The 18,891-nt window shown below is 44.3% G+C and overlaps 1 protein-coding gene across 10 annotated transcripts in view, besides 2 other annotated features; it reads left to right on the top strand.

Moving 5' to 3' along the window:
• Positions 1-18,891, top strand: part of SASH1 (SAM and SH3 domain containing 1) — a 358,577-nt gene that overhangs the window by 171,479 nt on the left and 168,207 nt on the right. The window lies entirely within an intron of this gene.
• Positions 1,600-2,476: an enhancer, noted in NCBI's record as "H3K27ac-H3K4me1 hESC enhancer chr6:148687682-148688558 (GRCh37/hg19 assembly coordinates)". NCBI's record gives its function as "activates a minimal SCP1, AML or CMV promoter by ChIP-STARR-seq in primed H9 embryonic stem cells {active_cell/tissue: H9 hESC(primed)}" and the evidence as "EXISTENCE:reporter gene assay evidence [ECO:0000049][PMID:30033119]".
• Positions 2,477-3,352: an enhancer, noted in NCBI's record as "H3K27ac-H3K4me1 hESC enhancer chr6:148688559-148689434 (GRCh37/hg19 assembly coordinates)". NCBI's record gives its function as "activates a minimal SCP1, AML or CMV promoter by ChIP-STARR-seq in primed H9 embryonic stem cells {active_cell/tissue: H9 hESC(primed)}" and the evidence as "EXISTENCE:reporter gene assay evidence [ECO:0000049][PMID:30033119]".

Consider the following 18,891-nt stretch of genomic DNA (forward strand, 5'->3'; position numbering starts at 1 on the left):
ACCCCATCTCTACCAAAAATACAAAAATTAGCCAGGCATGGTGGTATGTGCCTGTAATCCCAGCTACTTGAGAGGCTGAGGCAGGAGAATCACTTGAACCTGAGAGGCGGAGGTTGCAGTGAGCTGAGATCGTGCCACTGCACTCCAGCCTGGGCACCAAAGTGAGACTCTGTCACAAAAAAAAAAAAGAAAGGAGAGGAAAAAGAAAATTTTCCCTTCAAGTATTTCACTGTGTCAGGTACTTTGTGATCAAGCTAGCTCCCAGCTGTCATGCCTCATTATCATATGATTTACAACCCATGATTGCTTTTTTAAATCGTATGGTCTGTTGACATTGCAAAATCAGTATTTCTCTTCTTTGCACATTCTTTAGCACCTACTATTTGTATCAGTCATTTGACATTTACAGTATTTAGGAAGCCTGATGGCCATTTTTTGTTTTATTGGATCAAATTCTTTTACTATCTTTTTTTTTTTTTTAACTGAGACATCTTGCAGGGCACAGAGTTCTCTGCAAAGATATTGTTGGTTCTCCTGGTAGAGGTGATGAGGAGGGGGTCATACTGAAGTACATCTCATTCTTGCCCACCTCATGACCATATTTCCCTTTAAGAATTCAAATGATGCATCCTCCATGATCGATCCTTAAGCACCTTTGATGTCTTGCTCTCCCTTGCTGAAATGGCTCACATAATGGGAGCTTTAACTGAAGGAGAGATGGAGCTAGGAATATAAAGATCATTTTTGCCTGGGTGTAGTGGCTCATCCCTATAATCCCAGCCCTTTGGGAGGCTGAGGTGGGTGGATCGTTGAGCTCAGGAGTTCGAGACCAGCTTGCACAACATGATGAAACCCCATGTCTACAAAAAAAAAATACAAAAATTAGCCGGGCAGGGTAGCTCGTGCCTGTAATCCCAGCACTTTGGGAGGCCAAGGCAGGCAGATCACCTGAGGTCAGGAGTTTGAGACCAGCCTGGCCAAAGTGGTGAAACCTCATCTCTACTAAAAACACAAAAATTAGCCAGGCGTGGTGGCGTGCGCCTGTAATCCCAGCTACTCAGGAGGCTGAGACAGGAGAATTGCTTGAACCTGGGAGGTGGAGGTTGCGGTGAGCCGAGGTGGCACCACTGCACTCCAGCCTGGGGGATAGAGTGAAACTCTGTCTCAAAAAAGAAAAGAAAAAAAAAAATTAGCCAGGCATGGTAGCGCTGCCTGTATTTCCAACTACTTGGAGGGCTGAGGTGGGAAGATTGCTTGAGCCTGGGACATTGTGGCTGCAGTGAGCTGTGTTCGCGCCACTGCAGTCCAGCCTGGGCAAAAGAGGGAGAGCCTGTCTCAAAAACACAAACCAAAAAAAACCCATAGAGATCATTTTTGAGAAGAAGTTTAAGAAAGGTAGACACTGTGCTGAGGAACTTAGTTGCTAAGATATAGACACAAGAAAATATTGGATACTTGGAAGGAGACGAGCAGACAACAGAACAAGAAGAACTTCATTTAAAGTCTTGTCCGGACTTGGTGGGGCGATGGTGCATTTCTGGTGTCTGACTTGCAATGTCTGGATCCTGAGTATAAGCTCGGCAAGCATTTAGGTTTGGGCCTGAATTTTGTCATTTGTAAAACTAAAAGAAAATAGGGATTCCATTTGTTTTGTTTGTTTGTTTGTTTGAGATGGAGTATTGTTCTTGTTGCCCAGGCTGGAGTGCAATGGTGCGATCTCAGCTCACTGCAACCTCTGCCTCCCAGGTTCAAGCGATTCTCCTGCCTCAGCCTCCTGAGTAGCTGGGATTACAGGTACGGGCCACCAAGCCCGCGTAATTTTTGTATTTTTGGCAGAGACGGGGTTTCACCGTATTGGTCAGGCTGGTCTCAAACTCCTGACCTCCTGATCCTGCCCGTCTGCCTCCCAAAGTGCTGGGATTACAGGCATAAGCCAAGGATTCCATTTGGATACGCTTCTGCAAGTAATTTCCCTTCCTTCTCATCATCTTTGGGTTCTGATGGATTCTGTAACTAGTGGGTAGCTTTTTTTTTTTTTTTTTTAAGACTGAGTCTTGCTCTGTTGCCCAGGCTGGAGTGCAATGGCGTGATCTCTGCTCACTGCAACCTCTGCCTCCCAGGCGCCTGCCACCATACCTGGCTAATTTTTGTATTTTTAGTGGAGGCAGGGTTTCACCACATTGGCCAGGCTGGTCTCGAACTCCTGACCTCAGGTGATCCACCTTCCTCGGCCTCCCAAAGTGCGGGGATTACAGGCGTGAGCCACCGCACCTGGCCACAGTGTATCTTTTTGTTATTGTATTAGGTTGGTGCAAAAGTAATCGCGGTTTATAATTATGCTTCCTTAAGCTAAAAACTTAGGTGAGAACACACCTCAGTCCTTTTAGCAATCCTCAGTTGAGTCTGACCATGCACATTCTTACTTACAAGTTTTAGTTGTCTGAGCCACCGCTTAGCTTGGTTTTTAGTTGCATGGCTGCCAAAGAATTGTTTAGCCAGAGGCCCTGCGCAGGTCTGCAGGGAAACAGAACAAAACACATTGCTCTTGTTTACGTCCTCGGGCTGAACCACCCATTTCTCTGTAGCAGTCAGGATTTCCTCAGGAAGCTTTCCTTGGGGAGGGTGGACCAGGGTGAAGCAGGATGTGATGACACGCAGCCCTCCTGCCCTCTGCAGCCAGCTGAGGTGAAGCCTCTATCTGTATCTGGCCTATGCTTCCTAGTCTGTGAGTTACAAGTCCAGGTCTTCTGCCCCAGGTTGGGGTGATGGAGTTGGTGGGGATGGACGGAGCTGCTGCCCCCATCCCCCTGGCTCCTTACTTCCATTTCATTTTCTTATCTGCAGTGCTGGGGTGAAAAGCCCAGGAGGGGGACACCCCTCGGAGGCCTCGAGTGCCTGGGTGGCAGCGGCTGTGCCAGCATTTCAGTCACAGCTTTTCCCATGGGGCCTGTGGGTGGAGTCGTTCAGGGCTGCGGGGTCTACCGCAAGCCCAGCCTCAGGAAGAAATAATGGAGTGGAGGATGTGGCAATTTGGCCTGGCCAAGCACCCAGCCATATGTTTCCTCAATTCAGGTTAAGTGAATTATTCAACTGTACACTGTAGGCATCTCAGGAGTACTGTTAACTAACCCTAAGTTTTATTTTAAAATATTATGGGGTGGGGATTACTTTCTGTGGAAGGCCTCAGTAGATGGCTTTATAGTTTAAATAAGCAGTAAGGTTAGCTTAAGCTTGTTGTGTGCCCAACTGCAGTGAGCCCGTACTTCTGTGGTGGTGAAGGCAGATTTTGGAGTAGACAGGAATGGATTTGAAGCCAGGATCTGCTCTCTTTTTTCTTTTTTTGTTTTTTAGACAGAGTCTGTTGCCCAGGTTGGAATGCAGTGGCACGATCTCGACTCACTGTAACCTCTGCCTCCCAGGTTCAAGTGATTCTCCTGCCTCAGCCCCCTGAGTAGCTGGGATTACAGGCGCAAGCCACCACACTCAGCTAATTTTTGTGTTTTTAGTAGAGACGGGTTTTCACCATGTTGGCCAGGCTGGTCTCAAACTCCTGACCTCAAGTGATCCACCTGCCTCAGCCTCCCAAAGTGTTGGGATTACGGGTGTGAGCCACTGCTCCCAGCTAGGACCAGCTCTTTGTTAGCCATGTGGCAGTGGACATGGAACCTTCCTGCTTTGATGTCCTCATTGGTGTTGTGCATTAATTGAAATGATGTACAAGAATACCGACAATGTAGTATAGGTATACAGATGCTCAATAAATGGAAATTTTCCCCTTAATTCTCATCCTTCCAACCTCCCCCACATGCGCGCGCACGCGCGCGCACACACACACACACACACACACACGGGGTTCTATTTGTTGTCTGATATAGATACAAGAATCTTCCTGGGCTCTGAATCCACAAATATCAGGAAGTCAATAGAAGGCATTTAGCTTGTTTTACAAACTTGATCAAATGGAACAAAAACAAATAATTTTCAAGGCATTCATATGATGTGGGAAGTTGCATGCTGTCTCTTACTCTGGAAGATACGGATCCATTCACTTGTGGAGCTTTTAGTAAATGCCTGCCTTGTGCAACATTGTGGTGGAGCTGCAAAGAGTTATGAAGGAAACAGACACGTGCATTGGCCTGGCAGAGCTGTACGTGTTGGGGAGAGTACCTGGATGTGCTTAAGTGAAACAACTAGAAATCATCAGCGTGTGCAAGGTAGAGAGACTGGCTGCTTGTTCCAGGAATGCAGCACAGAGGGAGAATCTGTCTTTAGTGGCACAGCCTGCTATGAGAGGGGAAAAGGCTGTTTTGGAAGCTGGGTTTGTCATGAGTCTCTGGGACTTCTGCAGACTGTTTTCATCTGTAGTCACATCTGCTTCACATGTTGAAACTGTTTCTACTCAGGCAAAGGTGATTTCATTATGATGCAGGAAAGTTTTTTGAAGATAGTTTAAGAGTTGGTCATCATAGTCTATTAAAATGATAAGCAACAGTGGCCATTGTTAATGATAAGAGTAATCGTTATGGAGTTCTGGGTATCAGACACTGTTCTGAGTGTTCTACATGGATTATGTCTTTATTTGGCAGCAATGCAAATAATACCTGAGGCAGATACCTCTCTCCAAGACACAAAAAAAATTTAATAACTTTCTTAAGGTCAGAGCCTAGCATCTTAACCACTCTACCATACTGGCTGTTCCCTTTCCATGACAAAAAAACCCAACCTGGCCGGACGTGGTGACTCATGCCTGCGATCCTGGCACTTTGGGAGGCCAAGACGGGTGGATCATTTGAGGTCAGGAGTTTGAGACCAGCCTGGCCAGCATGGCGAAACCCCATCTCTACTAAAAATACAAAAATTAGCTGGGTGTGGTGGTGTGTGCTTGTAATCCCAGCTACTCAGGAGGCTGAGGCATGAGATTCGCTTGAACCGGAGAGGCAGAGGCTGCAATGAGCCGAGATCATGCCACTGCACTCCAGTCTGAGCAACACAGCGAGATTGTCTCAAAAAAAAGAAAAACAAAAAAAAAAAAAAAAAAAAGGAAAGAAAAACCCAACCCAAACCAGCAAAAACAAAAATCCAACCACCTCCTCAAAAAAAATTCTCAAAATAGATAATTTGTTAATAACAAATAGCATTTTTCTCTTTTGTAAGTGGAAGGCAGAGGTGAGGAAGGATAGAAGGATAGATCAAGTGAAAGTGACCTTTCGAATGTCCCTGTCTACACAAAGTATTCTGTGGCCTTTTAAGTCTATCTGTACATCTTTTATTAAAAAACAAATTGTGATATATAGACAAAACCCAAGACAACTCTAAAAAACAAGTAGGTAATTAACTATCACTGGAGATTTAAAGATGGTTGGCAAGATTTGGAATCAGGAGGAAATTTACACAGAACTGGTGTGTGGAAAGTTTTGAAATACTGGTCCCAGCATCTAGTCCTTGAGTCATCCCTATGTTAACACACTAGGTTGAAATATCTCAATTTCAGGTTTTTCCTTTTCTTGTCTCTTAACAGTGCCATCTTGGTTTTCTCCTATTAAATTCTCTCTTTGCTTTGGAGTCTCATGCTTTTTCAAAAATATATTCTGACCTGGCCAGGTGCGGTGGCTCACGCCTGTAATCCCAGCACTTTGGGAAGCCAAGGTGGGCAGATCACGAGGTCAGGAGATCGAGACCATCCTGGCTAACACAGTGAAACCCTGTGTCTACTAAAAATACAAAAAACTAGCTGGGCGTGGTGACGGGCGCCTGTAGTCCCAGCTACTCGGGAGGCTGAGGCAGGAGAATGAAGTGAACCCGGGAGGCGGAGCTTGCAGTGAGCCGAGATCACACCACTGTACTTCAGCCTGGGCAACTGAGTGAGACTCTGTCTCAAAAAAACAAAAGACAAAACAAAAAAACCCTACAAAAATATATTCTGACCTAATAAGGGTCTCATTTTTTCAAAAATATGTACTGACTTTATAAGGTATTCTCAAATGAGGACTAATACATGTTTTTTATGTAAGAAGTGAAACGCTGTCATGAAAACACAATTGGTGAAGGATCTTACCCAGTGCCTTGTGCTTACTGTCATTCTCTTGGCGATCTCCTTGAATGTTGCTGTGAGAATACCAGCCTCACAGAAGTGTGTTTCAGGAGTGGCCAATCTCCCTTCCCTCCTCCATGTTTTACCTTCTAAGGTCTTTGTTGCCACAGAGGAGGATGGGGAGAGAAGAGACCAATGTCACTGGGCTAATATTTAAGAGAAAATGAAGTTAAGTTGAAATTAACTGACTGATCTCTTTTTGGGCATTTTCTGAATTATATCTATGGAGCACCTAGTTGGCTATTCTTTTTTTTTTTTATCCAGGCTGGAGTGCAGTGGCGCAATCTCAGCTCACTGCAACCTCTGCCTCCTAGGTTCAAGTGATTCTCCTGCCTCAGCCTCCTGAGTAGCTGGGATTACAGGCACCCGCCAGTACACCTAGCTAAATTTTTTTTTTTTTTTGTATTTTTAGTAGAGATGGGATTTCATCATGTTGGCCAGGCTGATCTCAAACTCCAGACCTCAGGTGATCCACCTGCCTTGGCTTCCCAAAGTGTTGGGATTACAGGCGTGAGCCACTGTGCTCAGCTGCCTTGTTGGCTCTTCTGCAGTTTAGCATGAGAGTCATGTCAGGTCCCCACTGCCACTCTTGTCTGTAGGGAGGTGGGTACAGATCTGACTTGAGTTTAGGTCAGAGCCAGGATGTCCTCTGGGTTCATGGTGGTCCTAAATAAGGAAAGGCAGAGTGGGGGCAGGGAACCTCCTGCACTCAGGCCCCTCCATGCACCTGCCTCCCCGTGACCCAGGAGGATGGTGAAGTACCTGCCAGTTCTTGGAGGACAGTTAATTCTAATGGCCTACTGAGAATCTTTGTTTCCTGTATTTGTGGCCTGAGTTTGCTCCTGGAGGTCATAGGCCTTATTCTGGGATGTTTACTATCAGAACCATTTCCCCCAGTAGTAGTTATTCACTTACAAATTGCAAAAAATTATCCAGAGTTCTCAATGTAGATCATTTATGACCTGGCTATGCAAAATGCCTGGAAAAGGTCTTCACTCATTTTTATAAAATGGGATAATGCAAACACTTATTTTCTGATTATGTAAAATTGTTTAGATTGCAGTTACATAAGGAAGCACAGTACCACCCTCCCATGAATCCAGAAACACTAGCATGTAAAAACCTGTTTTTGCTGCCACGCTCTTTCCCTTTCAGACTTACACTAGAGCTAGTTCTTTATAAGGCTTGTTTATGGAATGAAATAATTTTCCTTTGGTAGTGGCTGTTTTGCAATATTATGCTCCTACATTTTACTTTCTCACATATATAAAACTAATAAACTACATAAACATAGACGTGCCAGATGTTAGAACTGACGCCTCTTAGGAGTTTGTTTTTAATAAGCTTATGTAATTAACACCTTGAACTGTATTCCATTTGTTTCTTTTGAAATCATACAAAGAGAACAGGATGATATACATGCATAAGGCACCAGCATAGTGCCTTATTGGCTTTAAAAATTATAATGAAGTCATGGATGTTTTACAAGTTAAAACTTGCTAGTTACTTTTAAGGTCTGAGGACTGAAAAGTAGATATGCTACTTAGAAGGGAAAAAAATTAAAGCATAAAGCAATATATAAATTGTTTATATTCATCTCCCCAAGGGCCTGAGCTTAGTGCCTGGCAAGGTGCATGTTGATTGATTGTTTCATTTATTCCATTTGTTCGTTCATTCATTCATTCATTCATTCATTCAGTGCATTTATATTGAGAGCCTGCTAGATACTGTCCTAAGCACAAAAAAGAAAACTTAGAAAAATCTTTGCCCTCCTGGACTTGACACCTTAGTTAGGGGAGGGAAACAATGAAAACCTACACAAATAATATCCAAACTATTTCAGATGGTGAAAAAATGGTAAGAAGAAATATAAGGGGCCGGGCACGGTGGCTCACTCCTGTAATCCCAGCACTTTGGGAGGACGAGGTGGGCAGATCACCTGAGGTCAGGAGTTCGAGACCAGCCTCAACATGGAGAAACCCTGTCTCTACTAAAAATATAAAATTAACCAGGCATGGTGGTGCATGCCTGTAATCCCAGCTACTCGGGAGGCTGAGGCAGGAGAATTGCTTGAACCTGGGAGGCAGAGGTTGTGGTGAGCCAAGATTGCGCCATTGCACTCCAGCCTGGGCAACAAGAGCGAAACTCCGTCTCAAAAAAAAAGAAGAAATATAAGGCAGAGGCAATGTGGACAGGTCAGGGAGCTGCAATTTTAGACATGATATTCTTGAGAAGAGGGTATTTGAGTAATATCCGCAGAGGATGAGGGTAGGTAATTGTGGGAAGAGCTGAGCAGGCCGAGAGAGGAGCAAGTTCAAAGGCCTGGCCAAGGTGGAGTGGCTCTGGTGTGTTGGAGGAGTAGCAAGGTGGCCAGTGTGGCTGGGGCAGTGAGGCTGGGAGAGGCACACATTGAAGCAGGAAAGATGTAGGGGTGTATAGTTGTGAGGAGCCTTCTGTGTCATCCTGGGGGCTGTGGCCTTTTCTCTGAAAGAAACAGGAGCCCGAGTAAGGTTTCTGAGCAGAGGGACATGATCTGACTTAGTCTCCAACAGGATAGCAGGATCTTTCCAACTGTTGTGTTTAGAGGGTGCTTGAGGGTACAGTGGGGAGCCCAGAATTTGATTTCCCAGTATAAAATACAGCTGAACTGGGCTGGGCGCAGTGGCTCACACCTGTAATCCCAGCACTTTGGGAGGCCAAGGTGGGGGGGATCACTTGAGGTCAGGAGTTCGAGACCAGCCTGGCCAACATGGTGAAACCCCATCTCCACTAAAAATACAAAAAAATTAGTTGAGCATGATGGTGTGCACCTGTAATCGCAGCTGCCTGGGTGGCTGAGGCAGGAGAATTGCTTGAACCTGGGAGACGGAGGTTGCACTAAGCTGAGATGGTGCTGTTGTACTCTGCACTCCAGCCTGGGTGACAGAGTGAGACTCCGTCTCAAAAACAACAACAAGGACAACAACAAAAAACAGTTGAACTGCTGTGCTCTGAGAATGGAAACACACGGTCCATCCTGACAGAATCAACTAGGCGTCTTGACAGTACATTGAATTTTTTGCAGGCTTTCTTCCCATAATGTGTCAAACAATTAAAATAAAAATACTTGTATCCACATCCCAGAGAAGAAAGTGAAATTACCCCTTTTTATAGGGCAATCGAGAAGCATAAACAAGTTTGGGTAGGTGATAGGCATGCCTTAACTAGTTCATTTCCTTTTAAGGGATTGTTTCATTGTAAATCCAGGAATATGAATGGGAAGGAGGGGAGTAGGAATGTCCAAGCAAACATTGACCAGTAAAACTGTTAGCCAAGATGAACTGATAAAAATGTTAATTCTTCAATGAAATGAATTGCTCTTTCAAAAAATTATGTATTAGATGTCAGTGAAAAAGCCAGTGGTGATGTTAATAAATTCTCACCTTGTAAGCAAACTGAGAAAATGGGTATTTTCATTCTCACAGTAACTGGGTTAGGAGAATGATGTGAATTCGTTGCAGCTTTTTTAGTTCTCTTAGGCAGAAATGACTGTCAAGTTTACATTGTAACCCTGTGTAGAATGTGACACAAAGCAAATAATCTCCACTCTCACTCTTAACTTCCAAGATATTGTTCTTTTCAAACTTAAATTTTATTGTGTGTATTTGAGGTTTACAGCATTTTTTTTGGGGGGGGGGGAGATGGAGTCTCACTCTTGTCACCCAGGCTGGAGTGCAGTGGTGCGATCTCAGCTCACTGCAACCTCCGTCTTCTGGGTTCAAGCGATCTCCTGCCTCAGCCTCCTGAGTACCTGGGATTACAGGTGCTTGCCACCATGCATGGCTAATTTTTGTATTTTTAGTAGAGACGGGGTTTCGCCATGTTGGCCAGGCTGGCCTCGAACACGTGGCCTCAAGTGATCTGCCTGCCTTGTCCTCCCAAAGTGCTGGGATTACAGGTGCAAGCCACCACACCTGGCCTTTTTTTGTTTTTTGAGACAGGGTCTCACTCTGTCTCAGGCTGGAGTGCAATGGCTCAATGATAGCTCACTGCAGCCTCAACCTCCTGGGCTCAGGTCATCCTCCCTCCTCAGCCTCCCAAATAGCTAAAACTACAGGCATGCACCGCCACACACATCTAATTTTTTGCATGTTTTGTAGAGATAGGGTTTCACCATGTTGCCCAGGCTGGTCTCGAACTCCTGAGCTCAAATGATCCACCCGCCTCAGCCTCCCAAAGTGCTGGAATTACAGGCATGAGCCACCACACCTGGCCACAACATGATGTTGTGGGATACACAGAGACATAGAGATACATTTAGACAGTCTAGTGAAGAGGTTAACACACCTATTATCTCACATAGTTAACTTTTTTTTTTTTTTGTGGTGACAAGAACAGCTAAAATCTACTTACTTAACAGAAATCCCTAACGGAAGACAATTTCATTAACTTCCAAGATGTTTTAAATCTACGAATAAGAACAGATTCATGTGCTTCAGATGCTTTTTCAGAGTACTTTCACATTATTTTCTTGGCAAAAGTAAAAGCCTTTTATGATGAAAATTGAGATCATCTTGAGGGGAAATGATGTAGTTAGGAAATAACTTTTCTTCCCCACAAAACGGAAATGAAAGTATGGCCATGATGTCATATGTAATATTTTATATAGTTACCTGGATAGATGGGCAGATGCATAGATATGGATACAGATAATACACATGTGCCGGAACAAGAAAAGTTCCTTTGTAGGACTGACATTCTCTAAATCGGATTTTTCCTGTATATTACAGATCAGAGTGTGGTATAGGATGAACGCAACAGAGTTCCCCTATACCTGACATTCACAAGCTGGCCTCTGAGTCCCTGAATGGCATCCTTAGTGCACTGAGCTGTGTGGTGTGATTGGCCTGGAGTTCAAGGAGCCATCAGAAGGGTAGATGCCAGAAGCTAACTCATGCACTGTACTTGGAGAGGGCTAGGTGTGTTGTGAAGAGTTTTTTGGGGATTGCATGGCATTTTTCCAGACAGTGGGGGTAAACTGGTTTCTTTCTGATTTTGTTTTTGATTTGAGACAGTCTTGCTCTGTCACCCAGGCTGGAGTGCAGTGGTACAATCTCCAACCTCACTGCAACCCCTGCCTTCTGGATTCAAGCAATCCTCCCACCTCAGCCTCCCAAGTAGCTAGGATTACAGGCGTGTGCCACCATGCCTAGCTAATTTTTTTGTATTTTTACTAGAGATGGGGTTTCACCATGTTGGCCAGGCTGGTCTTGAACTCCTGACCTCAAGTGATTCATCCACCTGGGCCTCCCAAAGTGCTGGGATTAGAGGAGTGAGCCACAGTGCCTCCTGCGTCTTTCTGACTTTGGAAAGACACTATCCAACTGGTGTCATATGAATGAAGGGCTCTAAAATAGTTTCTAGTAAATAGAAACAAACAGGTTTTCCTTTAGCTTCTGGGTGGGGCTTATTGTAAGCGCTCATCACCACAAAAGGAATATATGCATGTTTTCCGTGGCTACAGCATTGCTCTTGTATTTGTTTTCTTACAACACCCGAACCAGGCCATATATGGTGCCTCATGCCTGTAATCCTAGCACTTTGGGAGGCTGAGGCAAGAGCATCACATTGAGCCCAGGAGTTCAAGACCACCTTGGGCAACATGGTGAAACTCCCATCTCTACAAAAAATACAAAAAATTAGCTGGGCCTGGTGGCGTGACCTGTAGTCCCAGCTACTCGGGAGGCTGCCTTAGGAGGGAGGATCACTTGAGCCCAGGAATTCGAGGTTACAGTGAACGGTGGTTGCAGCACTGCATTCCAGCCTGGGTGACAGAATGAGATCCTGTTTTTAAAAACAAAAGATGAAACTCGGCCGGGCGCGGTGGCTCACGCCTGTAATCCCAGCACTTTGGGAGGCCGAGGCGGGCGGATCACGAGGTCAGGAGATCGAGACCATCCCGGCTAAAACGGTGAAACCCCGTCTCTACTAAAAATACAAAAAATTAGCCGGGCGTAGTGGCGGGCGCCTGTAGTCCCAGCTACTTGGGAGGCTGAGGCAGGAGAATGGCGTGAACCCGGGAGGCGGAGCTTGCAGTGAGCCGAGATCCCGCCACTGCACTCCAGCCTGGGCGACAGAGCGAGACTCCGTCTCAAAAAAAAAAAAAACAAAAAAAAAACAAAAAAAAAACAAAACAAACAAACAAACAAAAAAAAACACAAAAGATGAAACTCAAACCTGTGGAGGGAACCAGTGGCATTCCTCCTGGTCTCCCTGATGGTAGTAAAATGCTGAGGATTTTCTGGATAAGCTCCTTGTGTATTCAGTGCCCTTCTAGATGGGCTATCTTTATTTTAAAATCTTAGTTGCTTTTTTTCTGTCAGGATATGAGAAGATTGTGAGACTTTAATTAAGCCCATTGAACCCAGGAACTTTCCATTTATTCCTTTTGGTGTGGGAAATATCTTTGGATTCAGGAAGATCTTTGACTCTCAACATGTTAAAAATTATCAGCAATAAATGTAAATAATTAGAAATCAATAATTCCTGTACTCTGATTTAGGAGGCTTGGTTTCTTGTCTTTTGGGACAAGTCACTCAAAACCCTGTGGTCTTTGGTTACTCTTAATTCATCTTTGAAATAAAGTTATCAAATGAGATCATATTTAAGGCCCTTCCCTGTATTGAAATTCTAGATCTTTATTTTTATAATAGGTTGGAATTCTGTGCCACTCATGTGATATAACTTGGTCCCATCAAATAATAGGAGAAATTTTAACCTTCCTGTTGGAGGAGTGAGGACTTCTATTTCATGAGTGCTTATTGAATGCCAGATGATCTGTCAAGGGTTTACAAGTATTTTATTTAATCCTATTACAGCCTGTGGGGTAGCTTTGTAATTACCATTTTACAGATGAGGAAAATGAGGCCGTACACATTTAACTACCTTACTCTGGGTCAGTAAGTAGCAGAGAAAGAGAGAAGGGTTCAGATGCCAAACTTCCTGTTCCATTGACTGGAGTTCTCTGTCACCCACAATTTTTTTTTTTTTTTTTGACGGAGTTTTGCTCTTGTCACCCAGGCTGGAGTGCAGTGGCGCAATCTTGGCTCACTGCAACCTCAGCCTACCAGGTTCAAGAGATTCTCCTGCCTCAGCCTCCGGAGTAGCTGGGATTACAGGCATGCGCCACCATGCCTGGCTAATTTTTTTGTATTTTCAGTAAAGGCGGGGTTTCACCATGTTGGCCAGGCTAGTCTCAAACTCCCAACTTCAGGTGATCCACCCGCCTCAGCCTCCCAGAGTCCTGGGATTACAGGCATGAGCCACTGAGCCCGGCCACAATTTTTTTTTTTTTTTGAGACAGGGTCTCACTCTGTCGCCCAGGCTGGAGTGCAGTGGCACGATGTTGGCTCACTGCAGCCTCTGCCTCCCTGGCTTAATTGAACCTCCCACCTCAGCTTCCTGAGTAGCTGGGGCCGCAGGCGTGTGCCATCATGCCCCGCTAATTTTTATATATTTTTCTTGGTAGAACTGGGGTTTGACCACGATGCTCAGGTTGGTCTCAAACTCCTGGGCTCAAGTGATCCGCCTGCCTTAAAGTGCTGTGATTATCAGCGTGAGCCACCGTGCCTGGTTGATAATTCTTTCTCATGTAGGCCACCCTTATTCTGTGAAGCTTTTCTCTTCCTGTTGGGCTGTGGCCATACCTGTAAAGAGGAATAACATCCCAGTGGGTTTAGATCTTGTCTTCACTGTTCAGCCTCTTCCATGACAGAGGTGGGACTGGGTCTGCTGTCAAGGATCACAGAGGCAGACACCATGCTAATGGTTCACTTTATTGGTGTCAGCAGCATTAAGATTCACAGCTGGACAAAAATATAATGAAACAGAGCTGGCCAAGGGCTGGATGAGCTTCTAGGATTATATCCCCATTTGTTAGTTTGGTTTTTCTAGCTGGTGAGGGACAAGGCACTATCAATTCACAGGTGCCAACTGTATGTTCTGTTGAGAGGTTTTTGTGTGGGTGCAAAGTTAATGAAATCAGGGTCACAGTTTTCAAAATCTCTGTGGTTTGGTTTTCATTGAAGTGTATGACAGCGAGTTTCGTACTTTATTTAAAGCAAAGTGCATGCCCTCTATATTCCTGCTTAAATATCTATGGCTATTGAATTCATGAGGAATCACCAAACCTGGGTTTCTTCCTGTCTCTCCAGTCCCCTGTCCTGCCACACCTCTGCATTCTGACCTTTTAGTCACCCAGGGTAGCTTTACCTCTTGGAACATGTTAAGCTCTCTCTCTGGACTCAGAGGAATTACATTTGATATTCCCTCTGTATGGAACTTCTTCCTACCCCCTTCCCTCAGATCTTCGTTTGTTATTGTTTCTAATGATATATTTCATGTATCAATGTCTCATTAGACTGTATTACTCTTGTGAGGTCAGTAGGGACAAGAATCGTGACTAGAAGCTCACCATTATATATAAAAATGCTGGTTTAGCGGGCAGTCTGTCAATTCCTAGTTACCGAGTGAATTTTATGGCACTCTCAGGAAAGAGAGGGATCAACTTTACTGCCATCCATCCATCAATCCATCCATCCATCCATCCATCCATCTGTTCATTCATTTGATAAGTATTTATTACGTAACTGCTAAGTGTTGGGTGTTGCAATAATGTTAGATATTGAGGTTATAAAAATGAATAAGATCCATTCCCAGTTTTCATAAACTCTAAAGTTGCCTGGTAACAACAAACACGTAAACAAATAAGTCACCTTTTAAAAACTCCTTACAGTGGGAAATTTCAGATGTATACCAAGTGGGGAGCATATGTTAAAGAGCTGCCATGTTCCATCACCGCTGATCTTGTTCCATCTATATCTGCACTCACCACCCCTCCCAGGCCCAGGATTTTAAAGCAAGTCCTGGATATCGTGTGCAGCCATTTGTGAGATGCGGAACGTAGGTGCCACACAAAGAGTATTTTTCAGTTGTTACCTGTCAGTTCTTAAAAATGTGGAGTTTTGGCAATAGCACCAAGAAACAGTTGCTTCAACCTTAGCTGTATAAAAGCAGAGGGTTACCAGCGTCATGCCTGTTGTCAGTCAGTTTTGATTGAGTTGTCTGGACTCCTGCGTCTCACTTACCAGTTGCGCCGGGGAGCTGTGTGAGGAAATCAGCCAGAGTCAAGCTCAGTCTCATACCACAGACGGTCACACCGCGAGGCTCTCTAGTCAAGCTGTGGCAGATTATAATTTTTCTAAAACACAAAAACTCAAATATTGTACATCATTTAACCATAGTACTAGAAATTTCAGATTGTTCTGAGATCAATATTTTCATTTCTAAAATTCTGGTCATATCACATTCAGATCTTGTTGGTCAAATGCTTGAAAATGTTCACAGCCTCACGTTTGTGTGCCAAAAAGGCGGCCAGAGAAAACCCAGTGTGATTCATGCTCATCAAGATCTGTGAATGTGGTCTATAATTGTGACTTCATTCCCACCCAATTATCTGTGCTGCTTTTCAAATCTGTGATTCTGTTAAGCTCAGGGCAGATTAAAAATGGAAAATGAGTTCAGTCTAAAACTGCCATCTGCTAAATCCAAATGTCCATTTTGAGTCTGAATCTAGGCTTGTACTTTCTAAAAACCAATGATCAATGTTCCCATTCTTTTCTCCACATTTTCAAGTTCTTAGGGTTTTTGTGTAATACTCTTTTGAGCCACTGATAGCCAGCAGATTGGATTTTTCAGAGCCTTTCGTTCCAAAGAGATCTAATATTAAGCACACAGCTTAGTAAATCCCTTCAACAAGTTCTCATGACTTAACCGTATGACTGCATTAAAATAAACTAATGGCCACACTTTGCTCTTCTGTGCAGTAGAAATAAACATTCATGTTTTTTGATTTTATATTGGATACTTAATACCTAGCACAACACTCGGAATATAGTAGATGTTTAGTAAATATTATTTGAATTAATGAAATATCCTGTGAACTGTTGATGATTGAAGGGCATAAACACAGGCGAATGTTGACAGCTTTCCTCAGTTTCTTCATCATACGTGAAAATCACTGTGCTGTGCAGAGGTGCTAGCATATACTCCGCATGAGGGATGTGGAGTAGGCCTTCTTCGTCATCTCTTTTATTAGAGCTGCTCCTCTGCCTGGCCAGGAAACTGAGTTTGTTCATATTTAGACTAAACTTTTCAGATTTCTTCCCAGTAGGTAGTTGGGGATGACTAGTTCATGCATAAGATTTTGGTAATAACATTTTTGCTACCAGTCTCAAGCCTGCCGAATCCTAGGGTCAAGCAGGCTGCACTGGGCCTGTTGGAAGTAGAGGAGAGGGAAAGTGTTTCTGCCGCGACTTTAACTCTGTCCTACCACAGATGACATTTCCCCAAGGGAGCAGGGAGTGTAAGAAGAGAAAAATGCAGAGGACCTTGGGGAATCATTGCATGTAAGGGTGTGCTGAGGAGGAGGGGTGGATGGTGACAGGGAAACTCACAGGCAGTGGGGTTCTAAAATAGAGACAGTGTGGGCCCCCATGGCTGTTGCCTAGGAAGCGAACTCCATCAGTGCCTTTCTTGCTTTCTTTTTTTTTTTTTTTTTTTTTTTTTTGAGACAGAGTCTTGCTTTGCTGCCCAGGCTGGAGTGCAGTGGCGCAATAATCTTGGCTCACTGCAGCCTCTACCTCCTGGGCTCAAGTGATTCTCTCGCCTCAGCTTCCTGAGTAGCTGGGATTACAGGCATGCACCACCACGCCCAGCTAAGTTTTGTAATTTTTTTAGTAGAGATGAGGTTTCACCATTTTGGTTGGCCAGGCTGGTCTCAAACTCCTGACCTCAAGTGATTCACCCACCTCTGCCTCCCCAAAGTGCTGGAATTACAGGTGTGAGCCACTGTGCCCAGCCTCTTCTGTGCTCTTCTAATATGCTATGTGATATCCTTTAAACAAATGCAAGTCTCAAATGTTTAAATTTATCCAAAGACTCTGTGGGGGATTGTACTGCGTTCACCCTTTCTGGTATGGTTCTGGGTTAGCGACCTTTACAAAAGACACCTTGTGTGAGATTTGGGAGCTGGAAGTGAATCAGCAGCATATTTTTTTGACTCTGAAGGTTGGTGTAGGATGCCAGGCATTGTGGCAGCTTCCACATGGTGTCACTGATCTGCTGGCTTACCTTGCTGGCATGAGACAGCATCTGAACCCACAACAGCTCCAGAGCCCGCCAGATCTCCGCCTTCTGTGTCCTCGGCCATGTGTGCAGGTCCATTGTGAAGAGTGTGACGGTCTCGCTCTGTCACCCAGGCTGGAGTGCGATGGTGCCATCTTGGCTCACTGCAACCTCCGCCTCCTGGGTTCAAGTGATTCTCCAGCCTCAGCCTCCTGAGTAGCTGGGATTACAGGCACCCACCACCACGCCTGGCTAATTTTTGTATTTTTAGTAGAGACGGAGTTTCTCCATGTTGGTCAGGCTGGTCTCGAATTCCCGACCTCAGGTGATCCACCTGCCTTGGCCTTCCAAAGTGCTGGGATTACAGGCATGAGCCACCGTGCCTGGCCCCCCAATTTTTTTTCCTGCTATTTTTTTCCTTAGACATTTGGAGACCTAGAAGCAGGTGCTGAGAGAGCTCTGAGGAGGAGGGTTTGTCAATCCTGCCTTCTGGGAGGCCGTTTATTCTTCAGGAGGGGATCTGTGGTAACCGGGATCCACCTGTGCGCAATAGCATCACCATGACCGTATATGCCAAAGCCAGGATTTGACATGGGTGCTGGCAGGTTTTGGGTGTTTTTGGAGAGAGGGGATGGAAGGTATGAAATAAGCCTCACTCCAGCCACCTGCCCTATGGGTGTGCCCCTGGGGGCTTCACTTGCCATTTGCATGACCTAATACGTCCCTCTGGCATATGTCGTTACACGTTAAAACTTTTTCCTGAGACAAAGTATACTTCCAGCTCAACCCATCTGTAGAAACACTGGGAGTGATACCTCAGAAAAGTATTTGAGATTAGTTATTACAGTCAGTGAATGTCTGCAGAACGACGACGACGTGGCAGGAAGTGATGACAGAGCTGGTGAGAACAGTAACATTACAGGGATTCAATGAGGCCGAACAAGAAAACGAGAATTAAAGACATTTTTATGGTTGTAGCAATTTCACCTGAAAGGTTGCTAAAAGTGTTTATCACCTTAAAAATCTTTAAACAAGCTAATTAAGGGTGAAAACACCTTGGGAAGTCATTCAAAAAATCAGTTAGGTTTCATTGTACCATAGTGATTTCTTTTTTTAATGGATTTAGCTTAGAGGGGATGTATATATCTCCATCCATCCCTCTTCAAACAAGGAGCAATGTAAATATAACAGAATTTATGTTATATAAAAATATATGTACTTATTATTAAGGACGGAAAAGGTAAAGAAACAATAAAGGAGTCAGCAGTCTGTCTTTCTCTCAACTTTGGGGAGTTAGAGCAACACACATGAGTTTTCCCTTGGGGAAAACTTTATAGATACATAAAATAGGAGGATCACACATTCGTTTGCATACAATCTGCATGCAACAGATCACATTGTATCTCCTGATGTTTTCAGATGCTTTTTTTTCTTTTTATTTTTTTCCTCTCCTGAATCTGTCAACTTATTCTAAACTGGAAGTGACATCTGGGGAAAGAAGCGCAGAAATAACAAAAGTAACGATACAAATGCCTTTTGTTTTCCTAGTAGTTTTAGGTTTTCCATTTTCCAGAGACAGAAGTGAATTGGGATAAATCTCAGAAATACTGTGAAACCGATTGTTGAGGAAACAGTGC

This window comes from Homo sapiens, chromosome 6 (assembly GCF_000001405.40).
Source record: "Homo sapiens chromosome 6, GRCh38.p14 Primary Assembly".
Classification (NCBI taxonomy): domain Eukaryota; kingdom Metazoa; phylum Chordata; class Mammalia; order Primates; family Hominidae; genus Homo; species Homo sapiens.